General features: G+C 40.3%; 1 long non-coding RNA gene and 1 pseudogene across 1 annotated transcript in view; both read right to left on the minus strand.

The window, feature by feature from the left end:
• The window catches only part of RFTN1P1 (raftlin, lipid raft linker 1 pseudogene 1), a 63733-nt pseudogene extending 51257 nt beyond the window's left edge, over positions 1-12476 (minus strand).
• Positions 15233-15320, minus strand: part of LOC107987339 (uncharacterized) — a 30404-nt gene continuing 30316 nt past the window's right edge. Inside the window, exon 3 of the long non-coding RNA XR_001756056.2 lies at positions 15233-15280. This is a non-coding gene — a long non-coding RNA (uncharacterized LOC107987339). The remainder of the gene's footprint in view (positions 15281-15320) is intronic.

Genomic DNA, 15320 nt, shown 5'->3' on the forward strand with positions numbered 1-15320 from the left:
GTAGGCAATATCATTCGGGACATAGGCATGGGCAAAGGGTTCATGACTAAAACACCAAAAGCAATGGCAACAAAAGCCAAAATTGACAAATGGGATCTAATTAAACTAAAGAGCATCTGCATAGCAAAAGAAACTACCATCTGAGAGAACAGGCAACCTACAGAATGGGAGAAAAGTTTTGCAATCTACCTATCTGATAAAGGGCTAATATCCAGAATCTACAAAGAACTTATACATATTTACAAGAAAAAAACAAGTGGGCAAAGGATATGAACAGACACTTCTGAAAAGAAGACATTTACACAGCCAACAGACACATGAAAAAATGCTCATCATTGCTGGCCATCAGAGAAATGCAAATCAAAACCCCAGTGAGATACAATTTCATGCCAGTTAGAATAGGGATCAGTAAAAACTCAGGAAACAACAGATGCTGGAGAGGATGTGGAGTAACAGGAATGCTTTTATACAGTTGGTGGGAGTGTAAACTAGTTCAACCATTGTGGAAGACAGCGTGGCGATTCCTCAGGGATCTAGAACTAGAAATACCATTTGACCCAGCCATCCCATTACTGGGTATATACCCAAAGGACTATAAATCATGCCACAATAAAGACACATGCACACGTATGTTTATTGTGGCACTATTCACAATAGCAAAGACTTGGAACCAACCCAAATGTCCATCAATGATAGACTGGATTAAGAAGATGTGGCACATATACACCATGGAATACTATGCAGTCATAAAAAATGATGAGTTCATGTCTTTGCAGGGACATAGATGAAGCTGGAAACCATCATTCTCAGAAAACTATCACAAGGACATAAAACCAAACACTGCATGTTCTCACTCATAGGTGGGAATTGAACAATGAGAACTCTGGGACACAGAGCAGGGAACATCACATACCAGGGCCTGTCAAGGTGTGAGGGCTGGGGAGGGATAGCATTAGGAGAAATACCTAATGTAAATGATGAGGTGATGTGTGTAGCAAACCAACATGGCACATGTGTACCTGTGTAACAAACCTGCAGGTGGTGCATCTGTACCCTAGAACTTAAAGTATAATAAATAAATAAATATTAAATTTCTTGATCTCAAAAAAAGAAAGAAATACTTAAGGAAAAATAGGCAAGTATGCAAATCCTAGTGAGTCTTTAAATGAATTTCAAGCACCTCACTATAGGGTCCTCCAAGGGAGTTGTAAATTAGGAAGCACAAAAAGGAGAAGAATTTACACACTGCTGATTCATTGTCCTTTCTTCTGATGTTCCCTTCCCCTTCCACCAGAAAACACTCAGCACTTCTGTGGAAAAGGTTTGGTATCTCTGAGAACATTCTGAACATGTCAGGGGAGATGTGCAAATGATAACCCCATCACACACTCCCTCAGGGAGCTGTACATGCCTACTGGGGACATGTTACCAGGGACATCACTATCTGATCCTACTATTTATTCTAGAGAAATCATCCTGGCTCCCTGCTTATGGTCAGGGCCAGCTCTCTGGGAGACAAACCACCTGCCACTGTGCACTACAAGGAGTGCACTGTTAACCTTAAAGGCCAAGGGGAAAACAGGCAAACTTTGCCTCAGTGCTCCCTGTATATTGGAGCTGTGAAGGAATTTCAATCCCCAGAGAGCTGGGATACAGAAAAGAAGAGAGCAGCCACATGGAATGGGAGCTGCGTAAGGGTCCTGCTTTCTCTGGAATCGTGCAAGGCTCTCCTTTACATTGACAGATGTAGAAAGATCTAGTATTAGTAGTGATGCATAATTAATAATATTTTATTGCAAATATAACACTGAATAAAAGCAGTCTGCCTGATATTTACTGGTTCAGAAAAGTCACACATCTCCAAACAAAAATAGCAATAATAGCTACATAGGAATGGTCTTCATAAGACTCTCATGGGGCCTGTCCAGTTAGGTTACAAAAAGTCTCTTCTCTGTGCATGTAATGCACATGTTACATGTTAAAATTTGCTGATTGTTTTCTTCTTTTCCAAATCATCCCACCTATGCCCCCAACTGAGTTAGGTGATAGACATGTTCTGTATCTGTACAGTCCAGTAAAATAGCCACTACACACATTTTGCTACTGAGCACCTGAAACGCAGCCACTGCAACTGAAGAACTGAATTTTTAAACTTATTTAATTTTAACAATTTAAATGGCTTTACGTCGCTAATGGCTGTCTTACAGGAAAATACAGCTTAACTCAGTTCTCAAACTTTAATGTGTGTACAAATCATCTGGAACCTTGTTAACGTGTAGACTCTGATTTGACAGGTCTGTGTGGGCCTGAGAGTCTGCAACTCTAAGAGCTCCCAGGAGATGCTGATGATGCTGGTCCATGGACCACACTTTGAGTAGCAAGATTCTGACTCTTTCAGGAGCCACCAGTTCCAGTGTGTCTCAAATACTGAGTGGATAAATTGTCTCCAAATTTTTCTGGTCACACAGCCTGCCAGAAAAAAAATTCCTGAATAGCACTGTACTAACATCTTACATGTGTTATAAAACAAAACACAAAACAGAATACTGTAAATATCAGAAATAATGAAATAAGCAATATTTTATAATGACGATCACAGTAAATTCATACTATTAATAGCTAATACCTCAAAGCAAAATACACACTTGAAATGAGATTCATTGTTAAAATAATGGAATTATGATCCACTCTACAAAAAGTCTCCTTGATAATTCCAAATTTCTTTAAATCGGATCTGAATAGGTAGGCATTGGTGTTTTAATGTCCCACTGTGTCCCACAAAGCTCTTACAGATGGGTCAGTGTAGCCATTTCTACATGTGTGTACAAGAGACAGAGAAGGATTTTACATTTACATTTCTGGTATTCCCTGCTATCTGCAATCACTTTATAGAAATTTTTTAAAGCCATGTGTATATCTCATGAGAGTTAATTTAGCTAAAACTACAAAAAGCGATCCACCAATTCACCTCACTGAGATCACATTCGAAAGTGCTTCCTTGAACCCAGCTCTTTTGCAGGCCCTCCTGCTCCATATAGCCCAGGTCACCTCTGATGTACACATCAAGCCAGAACACCACCTTCAACCTAAATGTTAAATATTACGACAGTTCATCTGTCTCCTAATTTTTCAATAAAATATGTAAAAATTGACACCTCAGTTTTCCTTCAACACTAAATATGTCTACCCAACTTTGGTAACCACTGTCTAGATAGTACATAGAACATCCAGAATTATTATGAACATCTCAGATAAAATTTACCCTCAACCATAATATTGAACATTATGTTCTCAAAAACACAAGGTGGAAATTCTTCTTAAATTAGTATGTTAATCTAACAACAATTTCAACAAAGTTTACCAGGAACTGAAGCAAATTACTGCAGGCTTTATATGGAAAAATCAATGTACAAAAGTTATCAAGATCCTGAAAAAGAATAGTGCCCTGGCCAGGTGCAGTAGGTGCAGTGGCTCATGCCTGTAATCCCAGCATTTTAGGAGGCTGCGGCAGGCAGATCATGAGGTCAGGAGATCGAGACCATCCTGGCCAATATGGTGAAACCCTGTGTCTACTAAAAATACAAAAAATTAGCTGGGCATGGTGACAGATGTCTCTAATCCCAGCTACTCGGGAGACTGAGGCAGGACAATCTCTTAAACCAGGGAGTCAGGGGTTACAGTGAGCCGAGATCGTGCCACTGCACTCCAGCCTGAAGACAGAGCAAGACTCCATCTAAAAAAAAAAAAAAAGTGCCCTACTAGATGTTAATATAATATACATTACAAATTTATTATCATCAAGACAACATGATAGTGGCATAAAATCAATAAGTAGATCAAAGGAACAGTAAAGAATCAGGAGTAGGTTGGGACATACATATAGAAATCCTAACTCTAATAAAGGTGGCATTTCATTTAATGGCAAAGATGGGTCAAGGTAGTAAGCACTCTTGGCAAAGGTGGCTACCTAGAAGAAAATTAAAGTCAGACTCACTGTCTCACTCCCTAACAAACCCACCGGCTCTCGAATGGGGGCAGTTTTGCCCATTAGCAGACATTAGACAATGTCTGGAACCTGTCACAACTGCAGGGATAGGGGCTTTGCTCATAAAATCTTGTCAGTAGATGCCAGGGAGTCTGCTAAATATCCTACAATGCACAGGACAGTCCCACATACAGTTGTCTGGCCCAAAATGTCAATAGTACCAAGGCTGAGAAATTCCACCCCTTTCCCTACCTTAACCCTCATAGCTAAACAATTAAAGAGGAATGCTATTAGAAGAAAGGTGCCAATGTGAAACCTGGTTTCTCTACTCATGAAATGTGTGGACAATGGCTTGGACAAGTACCACTCTGAGACTCATTTCTTTCATCTTGGTTTTCAGGAATAAGGATAATATATATCATGAAGCAATGAACAAGGACTCTGGCCAAGCGCAGCAGCAAATAAATGGTAGCTATGACGGCTATTATAAAAAATGAGAAATCACATGAAGAAGTAACTGCAAACACATAAATGTTCTTTACAAGAAAAGGGGACATTTTGTTCCTAAGAGATCCAGGTTGCTTGATGGAGCAATTTTGGAGACTTAAACTAAAGCAATATATTACAAATTCCCCAAGAGCAGGAATTGTGTCCATCTCATTCTCTCTAACAAAGACTGCTACATTAGAGAACCCAACAGACATGTAATGAATACATTTTTATTTTGTTTTTAGGGAGCAGAGAGAAAATAACATACTGATAGCCCTAGAACCATTCTTTACATATAATCATTTGGTGCACAAATTGACAAGACCCAGCCAGCCTGCTGAATGGAGCCATCTGGAGAGCTCTAAGTGTTTGGCAGTGGTAGCCCTATATTCTGAAACCAGCTGGGGAATTAGCCAAGCCTCTGGTCCCACAGCATAGCCGTGGGGACTGGGGATGCTACAAAGCCTAGAAGAGTCTCAGAATTCTCTGAAGATGTTCCTATAAGCTCTGGGATCTCTGAGCTTAAAGATGATGTATTTCTGTGCCATGAGTCTCAAGATGGAACTTGAGTTCTACATTCACCACACACTCCCACTACCCACTTCAAACTTCAGAACTGAGAAGTCATTAATAACTTCTTCAGCCTCATTTTCCTAGACATAAAATGAGAAGTGGGGAATGAGGGAAGTACCTTTCAGTTACAAAGGAGTGTATGTCTAATACCTCTGCTGAAAACAGAGTAATGTTTTTGACAAATATTAACAACAAAAACAATTATCATGAGGACATAGTGAGAGTTAATTATAACACTTAAAACATACAGGAATGAAGCAAAGTGCTCTCAGACTCTGAGGAACAGATGTTATGTGAACACAAGTTACTAATTTAGTTTATAAAACCTTTGCAGCCATTTTAAGTTCCAACTCATGGTTGATGAATAGGAAGTGAATGAAATGATGTACTCATATTTATAGCATATTTATCATATTTTCACATACTTACAGCATTTTATAGCATTTACATCTTTGTAAATGGTTCCATCTTTCAATCATTTAAAATATAAAATTTGGATAGATTTTAGAGACAATCATTTTATCAAAATCTCAAGAACCTTTAAATCACTAATAATGTACTTATATACATCTGAATGTTATATCTCACCTACTGCTGCATTCACATCTAGAAGACAAGTGGCTAAGACAAGAAGGCTAAGACATTGACTCACCACTTCCCAAGAGTCCCCATTCAATGAGCCAGGCCCTGTAGGCATCTGCGCTTGCAAGCCCTGTCTTAGAATAAAGACATTGTCTTCAGGATTTTAGATTCAGGTCCTCAGGAGGAGAAACAAAGGGTACATTCTCAGCATTCTCTGAGATTTACTTTCCCAGAAATGAAACAGCAAAGGCCAAAAGAATTGTTTTTCTTGCATCACTTGACCCTGAATTATCAGGGCTGATTCATTCAGTCACCTGTGCTGCTCATAAGTACTTGGGAGTACAGCTTGCTGATATGGCCTAAGAGGAAACTTTTCTCAGACTCCAAGCATATGGTCAATTTGGAATGAAGCAGCTGACTGTAGCTCTCATCAACCTATGGCATCTCTTCTAAGATTCACTAGAGGCACCTGTTCTAGAACAAGGACTGAAATAGTCTTGGGTAAGTCAGCAGCTAGAGAAGTGGGCTGTGGCCTGAGAGGCTCACCACAGCTCCACAAACACCCTCTCCCAGGCGTGTCTCTGGTGTCAGGCCCCAAGGCTTCTCGTGCCTGCCCTCCCACTGTTTCCCTTTGGACACTGCGTTCCAGTTGTTCCACAATGTCAGTAGTGGGGAGTTCCTTCCCCCTGTTTTTCTGCCTCTTCCAATCTACCCATCATGCCCAACCCAGAGCAAATGAGAGCCACAGAGCCTCCTTTTCTGAAGTACTTTTATTAACAATTTCCAGGTTAGAGATACAAACCAAGACCTGTAGACTTAGCTGGGCAATTATATAATTTGCATATACATTTTTCAGCTCCCTAGCAGATAGATAAGTTTCTTGAGATCTAGGAGCTCCTTACAGTCATCTTTGCATGGTGAAATTACATACACATGTTTATCTTAAAAAATCCAACTAAAAGGGATAAATGTTTACCACTTAAAACAGCGCCAGCTATTCTATTCAATAGGCAGATGTGCCCCAGAACGAACTTGAGAAGGGAGACGTGGAGTTCCTGTTCTCTCACTGTCAATTACCACAAAAGCCTCCCTAGATGCAAACATTTCACCACCCTAGGTGTGATTACAATGAATATTCACTATAAACCCAAACCAACTTACCTTCCCAATGGGTTCACTGTTAGAAACAGCAATCTGATCTAGTCCTGAAGCAAGACATGCATTGGTCAGGTAGAGAGATGCCATAGTATTAGATTTTATGGGCACTTCAAAAGATTTTCAAGGGTAACTTTGACTGTAGACATTTTCCACCTTCCACAAGAATTTTAGAATTGCAGCCTCTGTGTTAACTACAGCTTCTCCATGAGCCCACACCCCAATCCTCGGCCAAAAGGTGCCTGATACATGTCCACAGAGTCCCCTAGTTTCCTGGTCCCTGTACCATGTAACGCATTACTCTATGGAAGCTGTAGCCAAATGACTTCAACTTATTCTTGACGAAAAACACACCAGTGACACTCTAGCTCCATGTGTGAAAAATGACAATTCAACAGCTGAAAAATGGCAAGCACTATGCATTTTGGTACTGCACTTACATCTAAAACCATAGAACATCCTAGTATTAAACTACGCTCAGGAAACATCAGAAAAGATGTTTTGATAACTGACTTCTCTTAGCCATCAAGTTTCAAGATCTTTAGCAACTCATTCTAAGAAAAACTACTTGAAAAAAAATGAAGGATCACTTAACTATACTTTGAATTCAGAGTGATTGCAACTATATTGTCTGTTAAAAATCATTAAGTGTTCCAAAGAAAGAGTTCAGAAAATGGAGTACAAACTCTCTTTCTACTTATTCACTAAGTATTTCATATTCAGCTATTCATTCTTGAGTCAAAGTAACTTGACTCAAAGTAACTGACTTCAATAAATTCAATACACTTAGAATAAAGAACAATTTATAGTTAGATGTGTGGCTTGGCCTGCCATGGTAAAATGAAATGGCAGTTGTTAGAATTTTCAAAAGAAAAGATCAGGTGATTTTTCATGGATGTAAGTGAAATCTGTCAACATGGCAGTGAGCTCAAAGGAATGTTACTGCACTTGATAACTACTTTTGGAGTGACTCATTAATAATTTAGTTAGATTGGCAACAATGCTCTCCAATTACTCAAACACCACTAGAAAACATTTTTCATTAGGAGACTTAAATAAACTTTTCCTGCCTCATTCTCATTACTCCCCATGTTTGCCCAAAAGAAATCAGGCCCAATTTAAAAGTTGCTCCTCCAGAAACATTTCCTTTGTTTCTCTTCCGTTGAGATATGGCATCACCTTTTCCCAAACTCACATGGCATAAGACACATATCTGATTTAATTACTTAGACTGCAAGTACCTGGAATCCAGGCTGCATGTTCAATTGAACCATGTACTTGCACCCTCTAACTTCCCACCACATAGAGCTCCTAGCACAATACCCTGAAAAGAGTACACCTTCAGCAAGGTGTGAGTGAATGAGTGAGGGAATAAATGTGGGCTTGAGGGGTTCTGTTTGGTGGTTCTGGCATATCCCAAGGCACAGTCATTTGCTAAAAACTTAATGTGAACCCTTCAAACACAATTAGGTTGATACTGAAGTTCCACACAGTCATCTCATGGTGATTCGTGGTAATGAACTTCATTTGGACCAGTGGTAATCTAGAAAGTGTGTCTACATCTCTTTGAATGCGCTCCACTTGAAAAATATTAACCAAGCATTTCTTTCCCTTTTAGAAGCTAAGTCATTTCATTTAACAGCATCTATAGCTGTCAGAACTTTGGCAGACTTTGTGAAAAGTGTCACTTTAACTGTCCGATTTAAAAATTAATCACAAAAGTCTTCCTTTGTTTTGTTTTTACTACTTAAACTCCCTATTGATAAAGAAAAAGTACTGGTTTTTGTTGTTGTTTGTTTCCTTCTTTGTTTTGTTTTGTTTTGTTTTGTTTTAGACAAGGTATCATTCTGTTGCCCAGCCTGGAGTGCAATAACACACTCATATTGCACTGCAGCCTCCACCTCTTGAGCTCAAACAATCCTCCCACCTCAGCCTCCTAGGCCCAAGCAATCCTCCATCCTCAGCTGTGACTACAGGTGTGCACCACTATACCCAGCTAATTTTGTAAATTTTTAGTAGATACTAGGTCTCACTATGTTGTCCAAGCTGGTCTGGAACATCTGAGCTCAAGAAAATCTTCTGCCTTGGTCTCCCAGATTGCTGGGATTACAGGTGTGAGCCACTGCACCTGGCCATGTTGTTTTTTCGTTTGCTTATTTTTAAGATTGTTGGGGTCTTTTTCTCATAATACAAAAAAAATGCAGTTATTGTATTTGCTAAGAGAGAAAATTCCTGTACTTTAAAATCACATTTTACAACGACTCTGCTTACAAAATTACCGAAGGAATCTCTTTCTCTGGATCTGCTTGTCCAGGAGTGAAATGTTCATTAAGGTCATCAGGCAGGCAGTTCAGGAACTCTGGACTAAAGTGAGATCAAACCCAAGGAGACCGCCAACTTCTATTTCTTGAAAATCCTCCTGCATACAATGTCTCATTCCTTTCAATAGTTTGCTCATTTTTGTCTTCTGGAAAGTAAGTTCATTTGTTCATGCTATCTAAGTGGAAGTAAAGAACCTCTATTGAGCCCCCAGCTTCACTTCTGGCTTGTAATGCACTATTCCTGAAAGTGGTGGTTCTTATTTCTGAAGAGGGGCTGCCTCACCCATCTTGTCCCATCAGATAACTTAAGAGTTCAGCGCAAGCCAGGCAAATCATGTAGTAACAGCCCCTCATTGTAGCAGCTAGAAAACGGAGGCCCAGAAAAATCCACTGATTTGCCCCTTGCACAACACTACTTACCAGTAGCCTCATGCAGCCTAGAACACAGGCCTGCTGGCCACGAGTCCTGTGTTCTTTCTTACCTAGCCTGATGCTTACAGCTCTCCTGGGAGTAAAGTGGCAAGCCCCAGTAGTGTTGCTGAGTGTCAGGCATGAAGCCAGGCAAGAATTAGGTCCTCCAAACCCTTGCTACTCAAAGTGCATGCCATGGACCATCAGCATCTGCCCCATCTGGAAATGAGTTAGAAATGCGGAGTCCCAGGCCTCATCCAGACCTATGTCAGACTCTGCTCTTTAACCATATCCCCAGGAGACTCACAGGCACATTAAAGTTTTAAAAGCATTGCTACATAGCAGGGGGGAAAAAAGGACACATCTTCGCCTTTTTGAGTTAAGCTCAGGCCAAATCCTGAGCTCACATCACCACCTATGGCAGATCACACTGAAGGATTCACCGGTGATCTGACCCAAATGGAATCGTCTCCTTTAAACACTAAGGGTAATTAAATAATCTGCAGAATAGAATCACTGGAGCCCAGTGGATGCCTTATATAATCCATATAATGCATTTGTCAGTTTTGTTTCCTTGCTGATATTCTGACCTACTTACAGACTACTGAGGGGTAAAATGCAGGAAAGGTTGAGTAATAGAAGTGCTTCTTGATGGAATGTCAAAGATATCCTCACCCACTTTTTTTCCTAAAGTGATTATCCACAAGAATTGTGGGTAAAGGGACACAACATGTGCTTCATGCCAGGATTAAGAATGCAGGTATGGGAGTCAGCCTTCCTGGGAGCAAGGCAGAGCTCTACTTGCTGCCTCTGTGTGATCGTGACAACTCAACATTTGTGTCTCAGTTTTCTCACCTTTAAAATGGGAACAGAAATGACACTTATTTCATAGGTGTATGATACCAATGAAATGATAATGATCAAGCCTGGCATACAGTGAGTGCTCACTAAATATGAGCTACTGTTATTATACATATCCTATGTGTCAGTGTTGCTTAAAACCACTGAAGCCCCCAAAATAGTTTCTTCTTGTGATTGACCCAGATAATGATCAACAGCCAATCGACATAAAGAAATCAATAATGGGCTGGGCATGGTGGCTTACTCCTGTAATCCCAGCACTTTGGGAGGCTGAGGCAAGAGACTCTTTTGAGCTCAGAAGTTCCAGACCAGTCTGGGAAACATGATGAAACCCATTCTCTACCACAAATACAAAAATAAGCCAGCATGGTGGCATGCACCTGTAGTCCCAGTTGCTTGGGAGGCTGAGGTGGGAGGATGGCTTGAGCCCAGAAGGCAAGAGTTGCAGTGAGCTGAGCCTGGGTGACAGAGTGAGACCCCATCTCAAAGGAAGAAAAAACAAAACAAAAGAAACCAATGCACATCCAGGCTCAGTGGCTGTAACCTGTAATCGCAGTGGTTTGGGAGGCCAAGGTGGGAGGATCGCTTGAGGCCAGGATTTCAAGACCATCCTAGGCAACATAGCAAGACCTCATTTCTACAGAAGAGAGAGAGAGAGAGACAGAGAGAGAGAGAAGGAGAGAGAGAGAGAGAGAAACTAATACACATAAAAGGCAGACATTGAGAAAAGTCTCGCCTTACCAAAAAATGTGTGAATTCTAGGTTTGAGCAAAGACATGTACCACCTTTCACAGCAAATTCTAATTTACACTGATGTAGACTAAGAGCCACAGAGCTTGATCAACCATGAAGAAAGAAAGGAAAGGAAAGGAAAGGAAAGGAAAGGAAAGGAAGGGAAGGGAAGGGAAGGGAAGGGAAGGGAAGGGAAGGGAAGGGAAGGGAAGGGAAGGGAAGGGAAGGGAAGGGAAGGAAAGGAAAAGAGGAGTCAGTCAAGTCACACAACCTCATGCCTCACAGCTGTCCCTTGTGAGCACACCAGCCAAATGCTTTGTCTACCTGCAAAGCGACTTTAAAAAGAGAGAAAGAGGAGGAGCTGCTCTGCATTCTCTCTTTAAACTGTAGCACGTTATCATTCCTTCTATGATAGTTGGCCAAAAGACAAATCTGATTCCCTTTCTTAGACTTCATTTTAATTTTAATTTTTATGAAAGCAGCAAAAACAAACTGCTCTCTCCATTCCATTCTCATTTTTTTAATTAATATTGTTCCTTTTGAAAGACTACCCCCATTTCTCTTTTCTTAATTAGGCCCAATCTAAATGTAGGCATAAACATTGAACTTGGCAAGGAAAAATGAAAACTATCCCCAAGCCCTGAAAATCTAAATCAAGACCAAACCAATTACAGCATTTTATTTAGGTGGGGTTTATATTTCGTATTTTTTTAACTGTTAAGTGATTGACAGAATTTATGGTAGGCTCAAAATGTTAAAGTATTTCCAGACTTTGGGGGAAGACATTAAGTTTGTATATAGCCTTTAAACAAAAGCATTGCATTTTCCAGCCATGCCTTTCAGTTCAAAAGTATTACACTTTTAATAGCTGCATAATTCCGGACATATCCTTCTTCTGAGGAGACATTTTTCTAGCTAAGCTTAATGCAGTGAGTTAAAAGAGAGAAAGAATGTTAAACGGAACCCTCTACTTGCAGTTAGACATATGTTTGCTTTTCATTGCAGGACGCTAGGAAACCTCTCTGATTGTCTAACTTTTTGCCTCACCTGTCTGAGGGCAGAGGCCCTGAGGACTGCATGCAAATTTCAACCCCCCAACCCCAAACTCTCACTTCTTCTCTGTTGAGCATAGCTTAGCCACAGCAGGATGCTACCTATTTACTCAGGGAGGCCTTACCTGTCGGTTTTCTTGATGAGGATGGCCCTAAAGATATGCTCCAGGGGTGTCTTCTCCTGTCCATGGGTGGGCTGCACAAAGGGGTGCATGGCTGCCAGAGAGAAGCCCTGTTGGTACAGCTCCAGGAGTTGGGTGGGCAGGTCACACAGGGAGGTCAGCCTTACTGTTGAGGATCCAGGGAGCTCTGCTGGAGTGGAGAGAGGAGAGGCTCATCACAGACCCACTAGGACACCCACCCAGCCCTGCCCAAGTCCCTCTCCCCTTGCCCTCAGGGAGGATCCTCTAGGTTACTGCTAAAATGAGTTTGTCTCACTTTTTGCTGTCTTCAAACGTACTTCATAAGCAGACTGTCATTTTCCAAATCACCCAAAGACACTAATGATTGGATTCTGGCCAGGCGTGGTGGCTCATGCCTATAATCCCAGCACTTTGGGAGGCCTAGGAAGACGCATCGCTTGAGCCCAGAAGTTTGAGACCAGCCTAGGCACCATGGTGAAACCCGGTCTCTCTAAAAAAAGAGAAAACCCTCAAAATTAGTTGGTGCTTGTGGTCTTGGCTACTCACAAGGCTGAGGTGGGAGGACTGCTTGAGCCGCAAATGGGGAGGTTGCAATCAGCCATGATTGGGCCACTGCATTTTTATTTTTTTTTTTTTTTTTGAGACGGAGTCTCGCTGTCGCCCAGGCTGGAGTGCAGTGGCGTGATCTCGGCTCACTGCAAGCTCCTCCTCCCGGGTTCACGCCATTCTCCTGCCTCCGCCTTCAGAGTAGCTGGGACTACAAGAGCCTGCCACCGCGCCCGGCTAATTTTATTTTGTATTTTTAATAGAGACGGGGTGTCACTGTGTTAGCCAGGATGTTCTCTGTCTCCTGACTTCGTGATCCGCCCTCCTCGGCCTCCCAAAGTGCTGGGATTACAAGCGTGAGCTATGGCGCCTGGCCAGGGCCACTGCATTCTATCTAGCCTGGGTAGCAGAGCAAGACTCTGTCTCAAAAATAAAATAAAATAATAATGGAATGTCTTAGATCCAGAGTCATCTTCTCAGTGATCACAATGAAAAAGTCATTTCCACCTTCTAAAAAAAGAAAAAAAAGAAAAAAAGAAAAAGAAAACAGAAATGAAGAAGGGAAGGGAAAAGAAGGAAAATACACTGAACAAATATAAAAATTCTAGGAGGCAATAAGTAGCATAAACAAAGTCAAAAGACAAACTTAAACAAAATTTCTGTGACCCTTAAGATAAAGGGCTAATTTCCTTAATTTGCGAAACCCTCCTTACCCCAAAATAAATTCTACATAGGCAAAATATATGAAGAGGCAATTGCTTACAAAATGTAAAACGCTAACCAATATTTGAAAAAACATTCTATCTCAGCATTAGAATTACACAAATCAAAACCAGGAATATTTTTACCTATTGAATTATTTTAAAATTTGGACTTCTAATTTACTTATTTTTGAGAAGGGGAAACAAAGTTCAAAATTCAAAAGGTACAAATGTGTATTCAGTGAAAAGTCTACATCCTAGCCCTATCCTTTACCTCCTAGACATTTATTTCCATAGAGGAAATACATTATTATCTTTTTGTGTGTATATGCATTAACAATCAAAGTATTCATACAAAAGTCAATAGGTCTATATATTTCCCTCCTCTTCTACACAAATGTCAGCATAACATTACACACCTGGCTTTTTAAAATCAGTTTTTATCAATTAACAGGACACTTTTCAGGCAGCTGTGGTGGCTCATGCCTGTAATCCCTATACTTTTTGGAGGCCGAGGTGGGATTATCCCTTGAGGTCAAGAGTATAAACTAGCCTGGCCAACATGATGAAACCCCATCTCTACCAAAAATAAAAAAAAAAAAAATTAGCCAGGTGTGGTGACGCATGCCTGTAATCCCAGCTACACAGGAGGCTAAGGTGGAAGAAGCTCTGGAACCCGGGAGGCAGTGGCTGCAGTGAGCCGAGATAGCAGCACTGCACTACAGCCTGGGCAACAAGAGCTAAACTCCGTCTCAAAAACAACAACAACAAAAACAGTATACTTTTCTTAGACACCATTTCATAGCAGTACACAGAGTGTTTTCTCAGTCTTTTCTACAGATCCATTGTGTGATATACCATGGTCTATGAAAACTTTTGCTTTTATAAGTAATCGTTTAGTGAAAAATATCATTCCTATATGATTTTGCACATGTGCGCTTGTAGTACATATAAAAAATAAATTCATAGATGTTGAATTGCTGGGTTAAAAATACATGCATTGCGTGCATGTATCAAAACATCTCATGTACCCTATAAATATATACACCTACTATGTACCCACAAAAATTAAAAATAAAATCAAAAATCAGAGGTGTAAAAAATATATATATATATATATATATACACACATATATATGTCATACATATGTCTGCATTGTAATTTTTTCAGATAGTGCTAGATTTCTTCTATACAGTACTATGGATTTATCTGGCATCAGTGATGTATAAAGTTGTTTGTTTTCCCATACTGTGGCTATTGTCAGTGGAAAAAAAAAAAATGATCCCTGTGAGATGTTAACTTATATTTCTCTTATTGTGTAATTTGTATTTTTTTCTTATTAAACATTTCACATTTAAATGCTGTTTCTCCTTCTCTGTGAACTGTCTGTCCATTATCTTTGCCTGGCATCCTTTTGGGTCATTGGACCTTTTTTCTATTGGTTTGTAAGAACTGTTTACATATTAGGAAATTTGGTTTCTATTTATCTGTCCCCGATTTGTTGCTTGCCTTTTGACTTTGTATATGGTAGGTTTTGCTATGAAATTTTTTTTTTTTTGGACAAAGTCTCTCTCTGGTGCCCAAGCTGGAGTGCAGTGACACTATCTCAGTTCACTGCAAACTCCACCTCCTGGGTTCAAGTGATTCCATGGAAAACTTTTTAAATAAAGCTAAATTTACCAATCTTGCTTTCAATGGCTTCTGAGTTTTATGTCATAGGAGAAAGACCTGGAATTGTAAAACAGTTATCTTGTGAATTCTCATAAAA

The sequence above is a fragment of the Homo sapiens genome, chromosome Y (genome assembly GCF_000001405.40).
Source record: "Homo sapiens chromosome Y, GRCh38.p14 Primary Assembly".
Classification (NCBI taxonomy): domain Eukaryota; kingdom Metazoa; phylum Chordata; class Mammalia; order Primates; family Hominidae; genus Homo; species Homo sapiens.